Below are 17,050 nucleotides of genomic sequence, written 5' to 3'. Positions count from 1 at the left end.
ATCTATAAATACTCCCTGCTCATTTATTACGCAGAGTTTTCTAAATTTTCACTGGTTCTCAGTGCTACCCAGTTCATGAATTATTCTTTGCTTAATTAAACTTTGTTTCTTTTAGCAAACTATATGAAAAAATAATATGTGTGGTTAAGTAGTACTAAGTATGTGATAAGTTGCTGCTATTGAGTCACTGCAAGTTAAGTAATTGTGGAAGATAATACAGAAAATATAAGAATTAGATTCAGTGCATTTCTATGTGAAAATGTTTTAATAGTGATTTTCTTCTCCAAAGTTACTATTAAATCACAAGTTGAAAAGGTACTTGGGAAAAATTCTTCTTAGTAAAGTAAATAAAAGGTTCTTATCAAGTTTATTGATATATTTGGAGAGAAAATAAAATGTACTTAGCTCTTGTATAATGTATAATATTTGCTTCTGTTTGATGTAGGTCAGGAGTCTGAAGATGAAATTGTGGATGAAAAATTGGATACCAGTTTTAGGATATCAGTTTTCAAACTACCCATATACACTTCAGGTTCATTGAAGAATAATGCAGTATTGAGAGAGAAAAAACAACATTTTTTTCCTGCATATCCTCAGCCAATCTATACTACTCATCCAAAGCCAATCATTAAAAAAGACATACGATTGGAGCGGAGTATGAAAGAGTTTTTTGCACCACAAAGAGCTGGTATGAAACTCCGAACATTTAGTGATATTGACAAATATTACACAGAACAAAAGAAGCAGGAATACCATAAAGAAAAAGTAAGAGTTGTAGCCATGGCACAAGTTGCTCGAGAAAGAGTTAGAGTAGCTGTTAATGAACATTTGAATCAGAAAAAATATGCTACACAAAAACTAATTGAAGAAAATAAAGAGACAATTCAGAACAGTTTACGACAAGTTTGGCAAAACAGATTCAACTACCTTGAAAAAGCTAGAGAGAGAAAAGCTCTGTTTCTAAAAGAAAAATCCCAAAAGGCTTCAGAGCGTTTATTAGTTCAAAACTTAAATAATGAGCGCACTCTTTTGACCAGAGGACTACTTAAAATTGACAGACTGGAGAAGAATGAGGCTGTCCTAAAAGAGAAAAGCCTGATTGTTAAGCAAAAACTAAAAGCAGAAAAATATAGAAAGAATTTACTTAAAGAAATGAAAAAAGTTAGGTAGGTACAATTTAGATATAACAGAGGCATTAAAGTCAATTACATGTGAATATTGCATGCTAAATTTTAAGACCTAATAATTAGTATGCTGTTTGTAACATAGTACATTCTACTTTGAAAAATTAAAACAAAGAACAAATAATATACTAATATATTACCAAAGATAAGGCAATAAAATAACTCTGTCTTTCCCCATCTCTCCACCTGTGCAACAAAACCTATCTACCTCTTAGTTATGAGTTGTTCTTATTATCACAAATGGCATCATCATCAGCCTCTTGACCAGTGCTATCAACCTCAGTTGGCATGAGCCAACGTGTCCGGCCTCTAGCTCTTTTAATTCTGATGTTAGGGTGTCATTTTGTGATCTTTCTCCAGCTTTCCAATGTAGGTATTTAGTGCTATAAATTTCCCTCTTAATACTGCTTTAGCTGTGTCCCAGAAATTCTGGTATGTTGTGTCTTTGTTCTCACTGGTTTCAAATAACACTGATTTCTGCCTTAATTTCATTAGTTACTCAGGAGTCATTCAGGAGCATGTTGTTCAATTTCCATGTAATTGTGTGGTTTTGAGTGAGTGTCTTAATCCTGAGCTCTACTTTGATTGCACTGTGGTGTGAGAGACTGTTTGCTATGATTTCAGTTCTTTTGCATTTGCTGAGGATGGTTTTACTTCCAATTATGTGGTCAATTTTAGAATAAGTGCCATGTGGCACTGAGAAGAATGTATATTCTGTTGATTTGGTGTAGAGAATTCTGTAGATGTCTATTAGGTCCACTTGATCCAGAGCTGTGTTAAAGTCCTGAATATCCTTGTTAATTTTATGTCTCATTAATCGGTCTAATATTGACAGTGGGGTATTAAAGTCTCCCACTATTATTGTGTGGGAGACTATGTCTCTTTGTAGGTCTCTAAGAACTTGTTTTATGGATCCAGGTGCTGCTGTATTGGGTGCGTATATATTTAGGATAGTTAGCTCTTCTTGTTGCATTGATCTCTTTACCATTATGTAATGCCCTTCTTTGTCTTTCTGATTTTTGTTGGTTTAAAGTCTGTTTTGTCAGAGACTAGGATTGCAACCCTTGCTTGTTTTTCTTTTTTCCTTTCCATTTGCTTGGTAAATGTTCCTCCATTCCTTTATTTTGAGCCTATGTGTGTCTGCACGTGAGATGGGTCTCCTGAACACAGCACACTGATGGGTCTTGGCTCTTTATACTATTTGCCAGTCTGTGTCTTTTAATTGGGGCATTTAGCCCATTTACACTTTAGGTTAATATTTTTATGTGTGAATTTGATCCTGTCATCATGATGCTATCTGGTTATTTTGCACACTAGTTGGTACAGTTTCTTCATAGTGTCATTGGTCATTATATTTTGGTGTGTTTTTGCAGTGGCTGGTACCGGTTTTTCCTTTCCATGTTTAGTGCTTCCTTCAGGAGCTCTTGCAAGGCAGGCCTGGTGGTGATGAAATCCCTCAGCATTTGCTTGTCTGGAAAGGATTTTATTTCTCCTTCACTTATGAAGCTTAGTTTGGCTGAATATGAAATTCTGTGTTGAAAATTCTTTTCTTTAAGAATGATGAATATTGGTCCCCACTCTCTTCTGGCTTGTAGAGTTTCTGCTGAGAGGTCCACTGTTAGTCTGATGTGCTTCCCTTTGTAGATTACTTGGCCTTTCTCTCTGGCTGCCCATATGTGTCTTGGGGTTGATCTTCTCATGGAGTATCTTAGTGGTGTTCTCTGTATTTCCTGAATTTGAATGTTGGCTTTTCTTGCTAGGTTTGGGAAGTTCTTCTAGATAGTATCCTGACATGTGTTTTCCAGCTTGATTCCCTTCTCCCCATCTCCTTCAGGTACTCCAGTCAGTCATAGGTTCATTTTTTTTTACATAGTCCCATATTTCTCAGAGATTTTGTTCATTCCTTTCATTCTGTTTTCTCTAATCCTGTCTTCATGACTTATTTCAGCAAGGTAGTCTTCAAACTCTGATATCGTTTCTTCTACTTGGTCGATTCACCTGTTGATACTTGTGTATGCTTCACTAAGTTCTCGTCCTATGTTTTTAGCTCCATCAGGGCATTTATGTTCCTCTCTAAACTGGTTATTCTAGTTAGCACCTTCTCTAACTTTTTATCAAGGTTCTTACCTTCTTTGCTAAGAACTTTAGCACATGCTTCTTTAGCTTAGTGGCGTTTATTATTACCCACCTTCTGAAGCCTACTTCTGTCAATCCACCCATCTCATCCTCTGTCCAGTTCTGCACCCTTGCTGGAGAGGCATTATGATCATTTGGAGGAGAGGAGGAACTCTGGCCTTTTGGTTTTGCAGCATTTTTTCATTGATTCGTTCTCATCTTCATGAATATGTCTAGTTTTGATGTTTGAGGCTGCTCACCCTTGGATAGGGCTTTAGTTGGGAACTCTTTTTTGCTGATGCTATTGTTGTTGTTTTCTGTTTGATTGTTTTTATTTCAATGGTCAAGTCCCTCTTCTGTAGGGCTGCTGAGGTTTGCCAGAGGTTCGCTTCAAGCACTATTCATCTGGTTCACTCCTGTGCCTGGAGATGTCACTTGAGGAGGTTGGAGAACAGCAGAGATGAGTGCCTGCTTCTTCTTTTGGGATCTCTGACCTCGAGAGGCACCTACCTGATCTCAGTAGGAATGCTCATGTATAGGGTGTCTGACAATCCCTGTTTAAGAGTCTCACCCAGTTGAGTGGCACAGGGAGCAGGACCTGTTTAGCGAAGCACTTTGACCATCCCTTGGTGAAAGGTGTGTTTTGCTGGGGGGGAAACCCACTTGTCTGGGCTGCCCAGATTCCTCAGAACTAGCAGGAGGAAAGGTTAAGTCTGCTGGTCTGCAGAGACTGTGGCCACCCCTCACCCTGGGGGCTCAGGCCCAGGGAGATCAGGCTTCTGTCCCTGAGCCCCTGGCTGGAGTTGTTGGAGTTCCTGCAGGGAGACCCCACCCAGTGAGGAGGGATGGGTCAGGTTCAGGCCTGAAGAGGCATTCTGGCTGCAGTCTGCCACAGCCGGTGTGTTGGGCTGTGGGGGATACCTCTTGGGACGAAGCTATCCAGACTCCCTGGCTCCATCAGGGGAAAAGCATATCCTGGAGCTATAGAGATGGCTGCTGCCCCATACCCGCCCTGGGAGCTTAATGTGTTAGGCAGCTATCAGTCTCAGTGTTGGCTGGTGCCTCTCCCCTAAGGACCTCAGGCAGCTTAGACATTAGGCAGCGGCAGCTGTGGTGCTGGTTGCCCCTCCCCTGGGAGTCTTAAGCAGATTCTAGTTGAGTGGCTGTTGAGAATCTGCATGGCTTCCCGGTGGCATGGGTTCATGAGTGGGATCCTCCAATCCTTGGGTTGCACAGTTCCATGGAAAAAGCACGGTTTCCTAGGCTGGGTAGCACACTCACCACCTCCCTTGACTGGGGTGTGGGGGCTCCCCTGCCCCGTGTGGCTCTTAGGTGGGCCACCACAGCACACTGCTCTTCCTTCCTCTCCATGGGTCATACCAGCTGCCTAGTCAGTTCTTGTTTTTTGTTGTTGTTGTTGTTTGTTTGTTTTTTGTTTTGTTTTGTTTTGAGACACAGTTTCACTCTTGTTGCCCAAGCTGGAGTGCAATGGCATGATCTTGGCTCACTGCACCCTTCACCTCCCAAATGATTCTCCTGCCTCAGCCTCCTGAGTATGGGATTACAAGCGTCCGCCACCACACCAAGCCGTTTTTTGTATTTTTAGTAGAGACAAGGTTTCACCACGTTGGCCAGACTGGTCTCCAGCTCCTGACCTCAGGTGATCCGTCCCCCTCAGCCTCCCAAATTGCTGGGATTACAGGTGTGAGTCACCTCACCTGGCCCTAGTCAGTTTTGATGAAGACCCTGCATACCTCAGTTGCCAGTGCAGGATTTGGAGGCAGTTATGGTTCTTTTTGATGACAGCCTCCAATCACTGCTGCTTCTAGTCAGCCATTTTGGCCCCACCCCCTCAAGAAAATAATCAAGTCTTTGTATTATTCACTCCATCTTTCTATTTCAATGCCCAGTATAGTACCTAGTTAACAAATTTATTCAACACACATTTCTTGAGGAAAATAGGCGAGAACCTCAATTAGTAAAGGTTGTATATAAACTCATTTAAGTCATATAACAACCACTGAGAAGAGAGTGCTTTTTACATATTTGTACTTAAGTCATTTAGAATAAGAAGCAATGTATATTTTTTCTAAATGCTTTTACAATGAAGATAATCAGAATAATATTAAACATAGAGTAAAAATGTAATTAACCAAGTTACGAAAGTAGCTTCACTAATCATTAGACTAAGTAAACTTCTTAGTACAAGTGCTTAATTCATGGCAGTAAATTTGCCCTGCACATTTTTTTCTGCCCCTCTGTGATCATTGGTGCTTCTACTAAGTAGTACCTACCTTCAATTCAAATAATTCAAGTAGTAATTCATTTCTAGCTCTTGAAGAGTTCTCTTACAGGTGATGTAGTCATGTAAAGATCATTTGGCCCAAGAAACTGAAAATTGAGGTGGGAAATATGGCAAAAAGCAATGAGATTAACAGAGTTACATAATAATACCAGCAATAACACAAACATTACGAATAGACAATTAAAATTTCGGGTACATTAATGGGTTTATGGCTGACACTTCTATAATAAAGACAGATTAGCAAGAAAAAGGCATAACAAATTTATTTCATCAAAATGTTATGTGACCTAGAAGCTTTCTAAAATGAAGACCCAGGGACAACTATTTTTATGCTTAGATTTGATGAAGAATAGACAATTTTGTAGAAGTATGATTGGAACAAAAAGAAAAGGGTATGACCTAATGGTAATAAACTGGGGATGAGGGGTACCAAGCAAGGCCTGTTTGTTCAGATTCTTCTTGGCCTTTCTATATAATATTCCTTCCCTCATGGTTTAAAGCATGGCACTTGTCACAGTGTTTAAAAGACAGGAGGCGGAAGTTGAGAGCAATCTTTCTGCTTCTGCAAGTTTCTCAGTTTCCTTCAGCTTAAAATACATAGTGTGCCAATGTGCCATATTTGGGGGCAGCATTTTTTGCTACTCCAAAATCAAAACCTTCAAAGAGAAGCCTTAACTAAACCAGAGTGTTACTTCACTTAAATTCTCCCTTGCCCTGCCATACAAAGATGAATAAGATATTCTTGATCCTCTAAGAACTCACAGTCCAGTGGCAAACATAAGCATACATTTCAATTGTTACAAAAAATAGTAGTAGGAGAAGTACAATTGTTGATTCACATTGGAAAAGCAGAGAGGTGAGAGGAGACCATTATAGTAGAGAGGTGAGGCAAGGAGAAGAGGATAAGCAAAGTTGGAAAGTTCAAAATAGGTAAAGCTAGGGGAGATCAAGGAGATCGTGAATATTCCTGTACCTATAGCAGAAAGTTTATGAAGAGTAGTTGACAGTGCAATTGCTTGAGAAACATCAACTTGATTAAAAAGAGCCTCTAAGTCTCAGTAGACAGTTGTGCAGTAAAGACCATTAGGATTCCTACCAGAAAGATATATTGCATTTTACACATGTATTTTACCATAAAACTTTCCTTTCAAGAAATATCTCAGAAAATAATTCTTAGGGCACACTTTGGACAAAACTTTCTCAAAGAATTGCAAAAATAGAAATTGTTTTATGGTGAAGGTTTTAAAGTTTTAAACCAAATTTGGTAAAGTAGGAGCTTTGTTGACTCAAAATATTTTAACTTACAGCTAGTCAATTTAAATTTTATTAATTGCCAAGGAACATTTTTAAGAACATAAAACCATGACCCATATAAATATAAAATGAGCACATGCCAAAGATATCATTTAACTCATTAAAGAATAAATCAGTTATGAGAATTCAAAGAACATTTATCTATCTATATATTATATCTATGTCTATGTCTATGTCTACTTCTATGTCTATATTGATATTGGCAATCAAAAATGCTGAACTAAATTCACAGATAGGTGCAAAACTAGTCAATATTCACTGGGCAATAATCAAACGTAACTTAGCTGAACACAATTATTTATATCTCTATAAAGAAGAATCATTTGTATTGCTCACAGTTTTTCTTAATTTAGAGTTGTAAAATTGTTCACGGAGATTGAAAGGCACAGATAGTTCTGAAGGGTGTACTAGCCAGGACTCCTAGTAATTTTATTTTACCCTTTCAAAGTCTTTCACACATTTTTTCTCTGATATTAGATTGAAACTGGTCAGCCACAGTTTTATCCTAGTGCTATTTCAAATGGCCAAATTATGTACATACATATTTAAGGCTTGTATAGAAACATTTAGAGATCTTCAGAACTGCTTATTTTATTTAAATTTTTAAACAACATTGTTTTTAAAAGCCTGTGCTAGAAAGAAGTTTTAAATAAAAAAAAGCATTTGCCTTTTCCTACTTATAAGCAATTTAAGCTATTTACTGATGTGTTTTATGTAATACTTTATTACGTATGAAAAATACTATTTATTTCCCCCTCCATATTTAAAATCATTTTCTTTAGTGTACACTTTGTGGTGTGTGTGTGTGTGTGTGTGTGTGTGTGTCTGTGTGTGCTTTGGAAATATTTCCTATAACTTATTTTAATTTAAAAAAGTATTTTGGAAAAGAAAATGAAAGCTAGTATGTATTGAAATACAAATCTAGTGCAAATCAATCTAATTTAATCAGCTTAGTTTTTTCACAGTAAAATGAATATCTGGCCATAATTAATTTTTAAAGAATACAGACTCAAACAAGCATCCTAATATATGTTAACTGAATTATCTTCTCTCATAAGCTACTGCAAAAGTATTAACCTGCAGAGCACATAAGAATAGGGCAATGTTTTGGTTATGCGAGTAGTATGTTCCAGTAGGCATCTTTGAGTTTTACTCTAAATATTTTCAAATAAAGATTAGGTATCAATATACAGAAAGAAGATGTGATCAAAAAGTGAAATCTAACTGGAGACTTCTGAAATTTTTCAATTCTGATACTTTTTCCGCTGATGATTCTTTATTCTCTTGACCTAAAAGCATTCTGATAAATTTCCATAACTAGTGAAGTCATTATTGAGAATGTAGCTCCCTAATCCTGCTATGTGGAATGAGAAAGAGTAAAAGAAAAAAGGGGAACCATAAAGCTCTAATTTAGAAAGTTAATAAAATACCCACAGGAGTATTTAAGCATTAATTAAAGATAGACTTTGAAATGAAAGAATCTATGTATCAGATAAAAGCTAGTCAGGGGTTTTTCTAAGATATTCATGTCTGTACTCTGAGAAAGTGATGATACTGTTCAAGCCAGGAGAGCAGGGTGTCCATTTTGAAGTAGGGTATCACTTAGCATGGAAGAGCTAGAAAATAAAGTGGTTTTTCAATTACATCATCTTCAACTTGTCCTTATTTGGTCATCAATTGACCTCCCATACTACCATCTTCATTTACTGTGGTCTTTACATCATTTTGACTTATGAAGCTTTTTCTCTCCATCCAATTTCTGCCATAATCATTGTTAACTTCCAAATTCATAAGAACAGCCCTCCCAATTACCTAATATCAACATTTTTGGACACCAACAATCTTTATCCTACCGGACGTTAATAAACTGATTTCCATAGACACATACAAAGATCCTCTTATCACTTGGAACTGCCCCACCTCTTAAATCTTCAACTCCTATATATTTATTTATAACTAAAATCTATCTTTTCAACTCCTTTCTTCCTCAACTCCTTTCTTCCTTTACTTCCACCACACATATCCTCCAAATATATGGTGACACCCATCCATCAAATAACCTCCTTTATACACTTTTATTTTCATTTCTAGTGTAGGCTCCGAGGTTCTTTAATTCAATTATTATTTTGTCCATTCTCTCCAGTGTCTCTAAAGTTCTTTCATTTCATTGCCTTGATTATGCTAAAATGTTCCTTACAACCCTTGGAACATTTCAACTATCTATCTTTATTTCCTGTATTTGGATAAAAATGTCTAGAAGAAATCAATGCCCCACAGATTTATGCCAATATTAATTTTATGGTCTCCAACTTGAGCTGCTCCCACAGTTGCTTGCTCTTTCTCCTGTTACCTACAAGAGCCATTTAAAATCTTCAACAGTACAGCTTTCTATTCAAACACCACTTATGGCCTCTCCTTCTCAACAAGATAATTTATCTATTTCCCAACGAAATTTTAGGACTTCAAGCTTTAATTCATTCAACTTCCTATATCCATATTTATAAAATTCTATATATTTTATATTTACCACAGTTTCCTTTTCTGCTGTCTCATGATTAGGTTTCCATTTTTCTGTAAAAAGCTAATAAACTCTCCTCTTATAATTCTTATAATCTTTAAAATCAAGTAATGTAAGGCTGCTGTGTTAGTCAGAATTATGGCTACCAAGAAGATAGATACCATGCCCTCCTTGATTCCCAGGACTATGAATATGATGAGATAGCACACCTGTGAATGTGTTGGTAAAGGGACTTTAAATATGTAATTAAGAATATTGCTTAATTAACCTTAACATAAGGAAATTATTCTGGATTATCCAGATGCGCCCAATGTATCACATGAGCCTTTCAAATACAGAGACAAAAGAGAACATCAGATTCAAAGTATAAGAAGGGTTTTACATGATATTGCTGACTTAAAAATAGAGGGAAGCACAGGGAAAGAGTGATGATAAAATTAATTCTGACAACAACCACTGATCTGGATGAGGACCCAAGACCTAAATGAGAACCATTGCTCTGGCTGACACCTTGATTTCAGCCTTGTGAGACCTAAGCAGAAAACCCAACTAGCCACAATGTGCCTGGACTTCTGACCTAATGAAACTATGAGGTATTATAAGGTGGTTGTTGTAAGCCAATACATTTATGGGTAAATTGTTATGTGGAATGAAAAATAGATTCCAACTTTGTTCTGTTTTCCCAAGATTGTATTGGTTGTTCTAGGACCTTTGCATTTTCATATAAATTTAAATTTTAATAAATTCAAAACATTTAAATTTAACACATTTAAAATAAATCTGAATTAAATTAATATATATTTAAAACAAATGTAAATGTTAATTTCTAATTTCTATCATAGAGGCTCTTGGCATATTAATTGTAATTTTATTTATCCATAGATCCACTTGGGAAAAATTGACATCATAATATTATCTTATAATCTCTGAGATGATATAACTCCCCATTAATTTAGATCTTTTTAAATTTCTTTTAGCAATATTTTATCATTTTTAGGTATAGACCTTGCCTATCTTTTATTACATTTATGTCTAAATATTTTATGCTTTTCTGGTCACAGTGTAAGTGGAATCACTTGATTTTATTTTCCAATTGTTTGACATTGGTATACATGGATATAATGATATAATTGATTATTTCATATTTCTCATTCTCTAAGACTTTTTTAAATATATTTTTTATTATACTTTAAGTTCTAGGGTACATGTGCACAACGTGCAGGTTTGTTACATATGTATACATGTGCCATGTTGGTGTGCTGCACCCAGTAACTCCTCATTTACATTAGGTATATCTCCTAATGCTATCCCTCCCCCCTCCCCTCACCCCACAACAGGCCCCAGTGTGTGATGTTCCCCTTCCTGTGTTCAAGTGTTCTCATTGTTCAATTCCCACCTATGAGTGAGAACATGCGGTGTTTGGTTTTTTGTCCTTGTGATAGTTTGCTGAGAATGATGGTTTCCAGCTTCATCCATGTCCCTACAAAGGACATGAACTCATCATTTTTTGTGGCTGCATAGTATTCCATGGTGTATATGTGCCACATTTTCTTAATCCAGTCTATCATTGTTGGACATCTGGGTTAGTTCCAAGTCTTTGCTTTTGTGAATAGTGCTGCAATAAACAAACGTGTGCATGTGTCTTTATAGCAGCATGATTTATAATCCTTTGGGTATATACCCAGTAATGGGATGGCTGGGTCAAATGGTATTTCTAGTTCTAGATCCCTGAGGAATTGCCACACTGTCTTCCACAATGGTGGAACTAGTCTACAGTCCCACCAACAATGTAAAAGTGTTCCTATTTCTCCACATCCTCTCCAGCACCTGTTGTTTCCTGACTTTTTAATGATCGCCATTCTAACTGGTGTGAGATGATATCTCACTGTGGTTTTGATTTGCATTTCTCTGATGGACAGTGATGATGAGCATTATTTCATGTGTCTGTTGGCTGCATAAATGTCTTCTTTTGAGAAGTGTCTGTTTATATCCTTTGCCCACTTTTTGATGGGGTTGTTTGTTATTTTCTTGTAAATTTGTTTGAGTTCTTTGTAGATTCTAGATATTAGCCCTTTGTCAGATGAGTAGATTGCAAAAGTTTTCTCACATTCTGTAGGTTGTCTGTTCATTCTGATGGTAGTTTCTTTTGCTGTGCAGAAGCTCTTTAGTTTAATTAGACCCCATTTGTCAATTTCGGCTTTTGTTGCCATTGCGTTTGGTGTTTTAGACATGAAGTCCTTGCCCATGCCTATGTCCTGAATGGTATTGCCTAGGTTTTCTTTTAGGGTTTTTATGGTTTTAGGTCTAACATTTAAGTCTTTAATCCATCTTGAATTAATTTTTGTATAAGGTGTAAGGAAGGGATCCAGTTTCAGCTTTCTACATATGGCTAGCCAGTTTTCCCACCACCATTTGTTAAATAGGGAATCTTTTCCCCATTTATTGTTTTTGTCAGGTTTGTCAAGGATCAGATAGTTGTAGATGTGTGGTATTATTTCTGAGGGCTCTGTTCTATTCCATTGGTCTATATCTCTGTTTTGGTACCAGTACCATGCTGTTTTGGTTACTGTAGCCTTGTAGTATAGTTTGAAGTCAGGTAGCATGATGCCTCCAGCTTTGTTCTTTTGGCTTAGGATTGACTTGGCATTGCGGGCTCTTTTTTGGTTCCATATGAACTTTAAAGTAGTTTTTTCCAAGAAAGTCATTGGTAGCTTGATGGGGATGGCACTGAATCTATAAATTACCTTGGGCAATATGACCATTTTCATGATATTGATTCTCCTATCCATGAGCATGGAATAGTCTACCATTTGTTTGTGTCCTCTTTTATTTTGTTGAGCAGTGGTTTGTAGTTCTCCTTGAAGAGGTCCTTCACATCCCTGGTAAGTTGGATCCCTAGGTATTTTATTCTCTTTGAAACGATTGTGAATGGGAGTTCACTCATGATTTGGCTCTCTGAGCAAATAAACTAGAAAATCTAGAAGAAATGGATAAATTCCTTGACACATACACCCTCCCAAGACTAAACTAGGAAGAAGTTGAATCTCTTAATAGACCAATAACAGGCTCTGAAATTGAGGCAATAGTTTATAGCTTACCAACCAAAAAAAGTCCAGGACCAGATGGATTCACAGCCGAATTCTACCAGAGGTACAAGAAGGAGCTGGTACCATTTCTTCCGAAATTATTCCAATCAATAGAAAAAGAAGGAATCCTCCCTAACTCAATTTATGAGACCAGCATCATCCTGATGCCAAAGCCTAGCAGAGACACACACAAAAAAGAGAATTTTAGACCAATATCCCTGGTGAACATCGATGCAAAAATCCTCAATAAAATACTGGCATACCAAGTCCAGCAGTAGATCAAAAATCTTATCCACCATGATCAAGTGGGCTTCATCCCTGGGATGCAAGGCTGGTTCAACATACTCAAATCAATAAACGTAATCCAGCATATAAACAGAACCAAAGACAAAAACCACATGATTATCTCAATAGATGCAGAAAAGGCCTTTGACAAAATTCAAGAGCTGTTCATGCTAAAAACTCTCAATAAATTACCTCAAAATAAGAAGAGCTATTTATGACAAACCCACAGCCAATGTCATACTGAATGGGCAAAAACTGGAAGCATTCCCTTTGAAAACTGGCACAAGACAGGGATGCCCTCTCTCGCCACTCCTATTCAACATAGTGTTGGAAGTTCTGGCCAGGGCAAGCAGGCAGGAGAAAGAAATAAAGGGTATTCAATTAGGAAAAGAGGAAGTCAAATTGTCCCTGTTTGCAGATGACGTGATTGTATATCTAGAAAACCCCATTGTCTCAGCCCAAAATCTCCTTAAGCTGATAAGCAACTTCAGCAAAGTCTCAGGATACAAAATCAATGTGCAAAAATCTTTAAGACTTTTAAATAGTTATTTTACTTACATTTTCTTCACAGCTTATAATGTTTATCTGTAAGAGGGCTATTTTAGTACATTTATTGACTTAATTACTATCCTTAATTACATGTGCAAGATTCCTTTGCTATGATTTCTACTCTGCTACACGTCCAGACCTGACTACTCTCCTGATTTCTAGGCTTATAGTACTAGTAGCTAACTTTTAGCTACTACTAAAATGATTATTAAATGCTAGGCACTCCTTTAAGGATTTTAAATGTGTTAGTTTATTTACTTCCTACTAAACCCTGTGAGTTGAAATGTCCTCTTTATAAAGATGAAAAAAAATAATACAGAGACAACTTAAATAACCTATCTAAAATCACACCAACAATACATTTCAGAGCCAAGCAGAATGGCTTTACTACCTGTACTCTTAACTATAAGCCTTCACTTCTCTATATTCAACACCCTGGGCATCACCACATGAATAAGCAGGCTCTTAACACTAACCATTTCCAGTCAGAACTCTAATCTTTCTTCCCGTCTTGTTGCTCTACCTACATTTCTTTCTGTTGAAGGCCACTATTATCCATCCAGTAAAATTAATTATTTAATATTAGGCATTCACCTAAGAATTTTTAATGTATCAACCCACTTAGTCCTTTACTAACCCTATGAGTTAGGTTATCTCCTTAACAATGAAGAAAATGAGAGAGAAAGAACATGAATATCTTGTCTAAAATCACATCATCAATAAGCTGCAGGCTTTTTAGACTTCACCCTCTCTTTTTCTCCTCAACTTCAGATTTCTGAGTATACCTACACATAAATAAAGTATTTTATGATCTGGCCTAAATTTGTTTCTCCAGCCTTGCCTGCTGCCTTGTTCTCCTTCCCAGACTGTAAGACCCAGACAATTAGATTGATGCCAGTTCTTGGAGCATTCCAAGCTGTGCTACCCTCTCTACCTTTGTTTTGACCATGTTCGTGATATAAAAATAGTTTGAACAAAATTCTCTTCCACTTTCTGACTGGAAAATACACATCTTTCAAGATTCAGTTCAAAGGTTATTTTAACTTTAAACTTTTTTTTATCTTCCCCTCCTTGCTCTTTAGTTTATATTTACCAAGTTTTTACTCAAGTTTTTCCTCACTCTGACTTGTTACATAATGTTTTCACGATGAACCATAATATCTCATTTGTATATTTATATACATTTATTTCTCTTAACTTTTGATAAGCTTCATGTAGTTACATCATGTCATATTTATGTCTCCAGCATCTAAGGTTAGTGCCATGCATCACAATACATAATTGTTGAATAAATAAGGATGAATGAATGAAATCTCCTAAGACCTGTGACATTTCCCCGGTTTGGCAGGGTATTAGTCTACTAGGACTGCCATAACAAAATATCACAGGCTGGGTGGCTTAAACAGTAATTTATTTTCTCCCAGTTCTGGAGGTTGGAAGTCCAAGAACAAAGTGTCAGCAGGTGTGGTTTCTATTGAGCCCTCTCTCCTTGGCTTGCAGATGGCCACCTTTGCCTTGTGTCCTCCCATGGCCTTTCTTCTGTACACTCACATCTCTGCTCTTGCTTCCTCTTCTTATAAGTACACAAATTATATTGGATTAGGACCTACCCATATAATGTCATTTAGCCTTAACTACTTCTTAAAGGCCTTATCTCCAAATAGTCACATTCAAAGACACTGGGAGTTAGGACTTTGACATATGAATATGGTGGAATGCATTCAGACCATAACAGAGTCGAAGAAGTAGCTTGGGTTTAGTGAGGCTTAAGGAGATGTATTTTAGGTGATGACATAGGGTAGTTTAGATGCCTCTTTGGAAATCTAAGCCATAGTTTGTGAGAATTTTTAATTATAGCTTATAGATATCTCATAAATACTTGTCTGAGTATTGTTTAATGATATAACCAAGTTATATAAATGGAGTTGTGTCTTTCTCACTTGTATATGCCTATTTCGAAGACATCTAATTATTATCATTAATAGTCTAATAGATTGCCATGGTTTCAGTATTTAAAAGTATCTCATTCTATTACCTTTCTTTCTCCTCTTAGATCTCAAGAAATATATAAAAGACATTGTGAAGAAAAATTTGTTATGGATATGATTGCCTTTGAAAAAGCCTGTGAAAGACTTCAAGATGCTAAAACAAAAGTAGCAATTGTGAAAACAAATTTAGACTTTAAAGTTCCCAATGGACTGATAAAATGAATCAATGCCAGATCACATCCTATGATCATCTTAAATTATAGTCATTATTTTTAGTTGAAGGAATTTGAAATAATACTCTAAAGCAAGAAATACTCTACATCACAAGATGGATTTATATATAAGTCTTCTAAAAATATAAAGATTAGTTAAAATGTTTCTCTTATTGGTCATAATTTAACTTAAAGTTGACTTAGCACCTCTGAAAAATTTCTTAGATCAGATGCCTAAGGAACAATTAAACTGATTTAATGTATTGCAGACAATGTTGCAATGACATTGCTGATATTCTGTTTCATATTCTTTCTAAATATAGCAATTCATAAGCTAATTTAGGTTTTTCTGGAAACCTTAGAATAGTAATTTCTACTCCAACTGCTGACTTTTATTAAGACACTGTGTACGTTGATGACTTTTATTACCTGCTTTTATATATTTCCTGCTTATTTTGTTAAAACAATTTCTGAATTTATTTTTTAAAGTATGGTTTCAATATTTTGTCAGTGATATATGCTGTTATAAAAATTCAGAAAATATGAACTATGAAAAGTAAATTAAACATTCTTATCACCTTCCTTGAAGACTGTAAGATTTTTGTATATTTACTTTTGATGGGTTTGCCCTGTTTGGTATACATGTGAAGACAGGGAAAAGACAGAGGAGAGAAGCAAGAGACAACCCATATAATTATATATTGGAATCATAAAATATACAGAAATGGTATATATTAACCATAAGTCTGTTTAATACATACCAATGGTAGAAAATTTGAAAAATAAACTGTTAAAAAAGACAGAAAAATCCTTTGTAAAATTTGCATCCATTTTCAATAGTGATTTCATATATCTAGAAGGATGAGTGTCTCACTATAATTATGACATTGTTCACTAAATACGATGTAGCTAATGCTATTCAAAATTTCTCTTTAATACTCACTGGTTATATATGTAAGCCTTTAAAACATTATTGCTTAAAAAATTCCCTAGATAGAAAGAACCTGGCCTCCTAAATCCCTGTTTGGAGTATGATAGAGAATACCTGTTTTGTACTTTACATCATCCAAAAGAAAATTCAGTTATATTAAGGGCTTTGCAACCACATCAACTATATTAGGCCAGCATCTATGAGTGATTTAATCAGTAGAGAACTTGTTACCAAAATAGGAGTGCTACTATCACAAAAACCCAACGTATCGTACTGGCTTTGTGGGGTAGTAAGAAAACCAATATTGAAGACAGAAATATGGAGACCGAGGTCTACTCATACTATAGCCCATGTAAAGTTTTAAATGTTATGGGTTCTGGGTGTTAGTGTCCTATACTGCCTTTAACTTCATTATTCAGATCACTTATGTCTAAAAAAATTTTTTTAGTTAAATCTAGAAAGCAATATGTATATTGTTGGTTAATTTGTTTTCCTATTCCTACCCTTTCAGCCAGCACTTTTTAAAAGATTTCTTAGAATTCTGTTGCACTCTTTCATAGAGT

The 17,050-nt window shown here is 36.1% G+C and overlaps 1 protein-coding gene across 6 annotated transcripts in view; it reads left to right on the top strand.

The window, feature by feature from the left end:
- LRRIQ3 (leucine rich repeats and IQ motif containing 3) overlaps positions 1-16,364 on the top strand; it is a 172,162-nt gene extending 155,798 nt beyond the window's left edge. For 3 of the 6 annotated variants that reach the window (XM_047445383.1, XM_047445373.1, XM_047445378.1), the window contains 2 exons: positions 446-1,166; positions 15,410-16,138. In XM_047445383.1, the coding sequence (XP_047301339.1) occupies positions 446-1,166; positions 15,410-15,566 (878 nt within the window). In that variant the 3' untranslated portion in view covers positions 15,567-16,138. Of the gene's footprint in view, positions 1-445; positions 1,167-15,409 lie in introns of all 6 variants that reach the window. The other 3 variants (XR_007079570.1, NM_001322315.2, NM_001105659.2) reach the window with 3 other exon arrangements.
- The last annotated feature ends 686 nt before the right edge of the window (positions 16,365-17,050 follow it).

This window comes from Homo sapiens, chromosome 1 (genome assembly GCF_000001405.40).
Source record: "Homo sapiens chromosome 1, GRCh38.p14 Primary Assembly".
NCBI classification, from domain to species: domain Eukaryota; kingdom Metazoa; phylum Chordata; class Mammalia; order Primates; family Hominidae; genus Homo; species Homo sapiens.
This window is presented reverse-complemented; position numbering and strand designations above follow the sequence as displayed.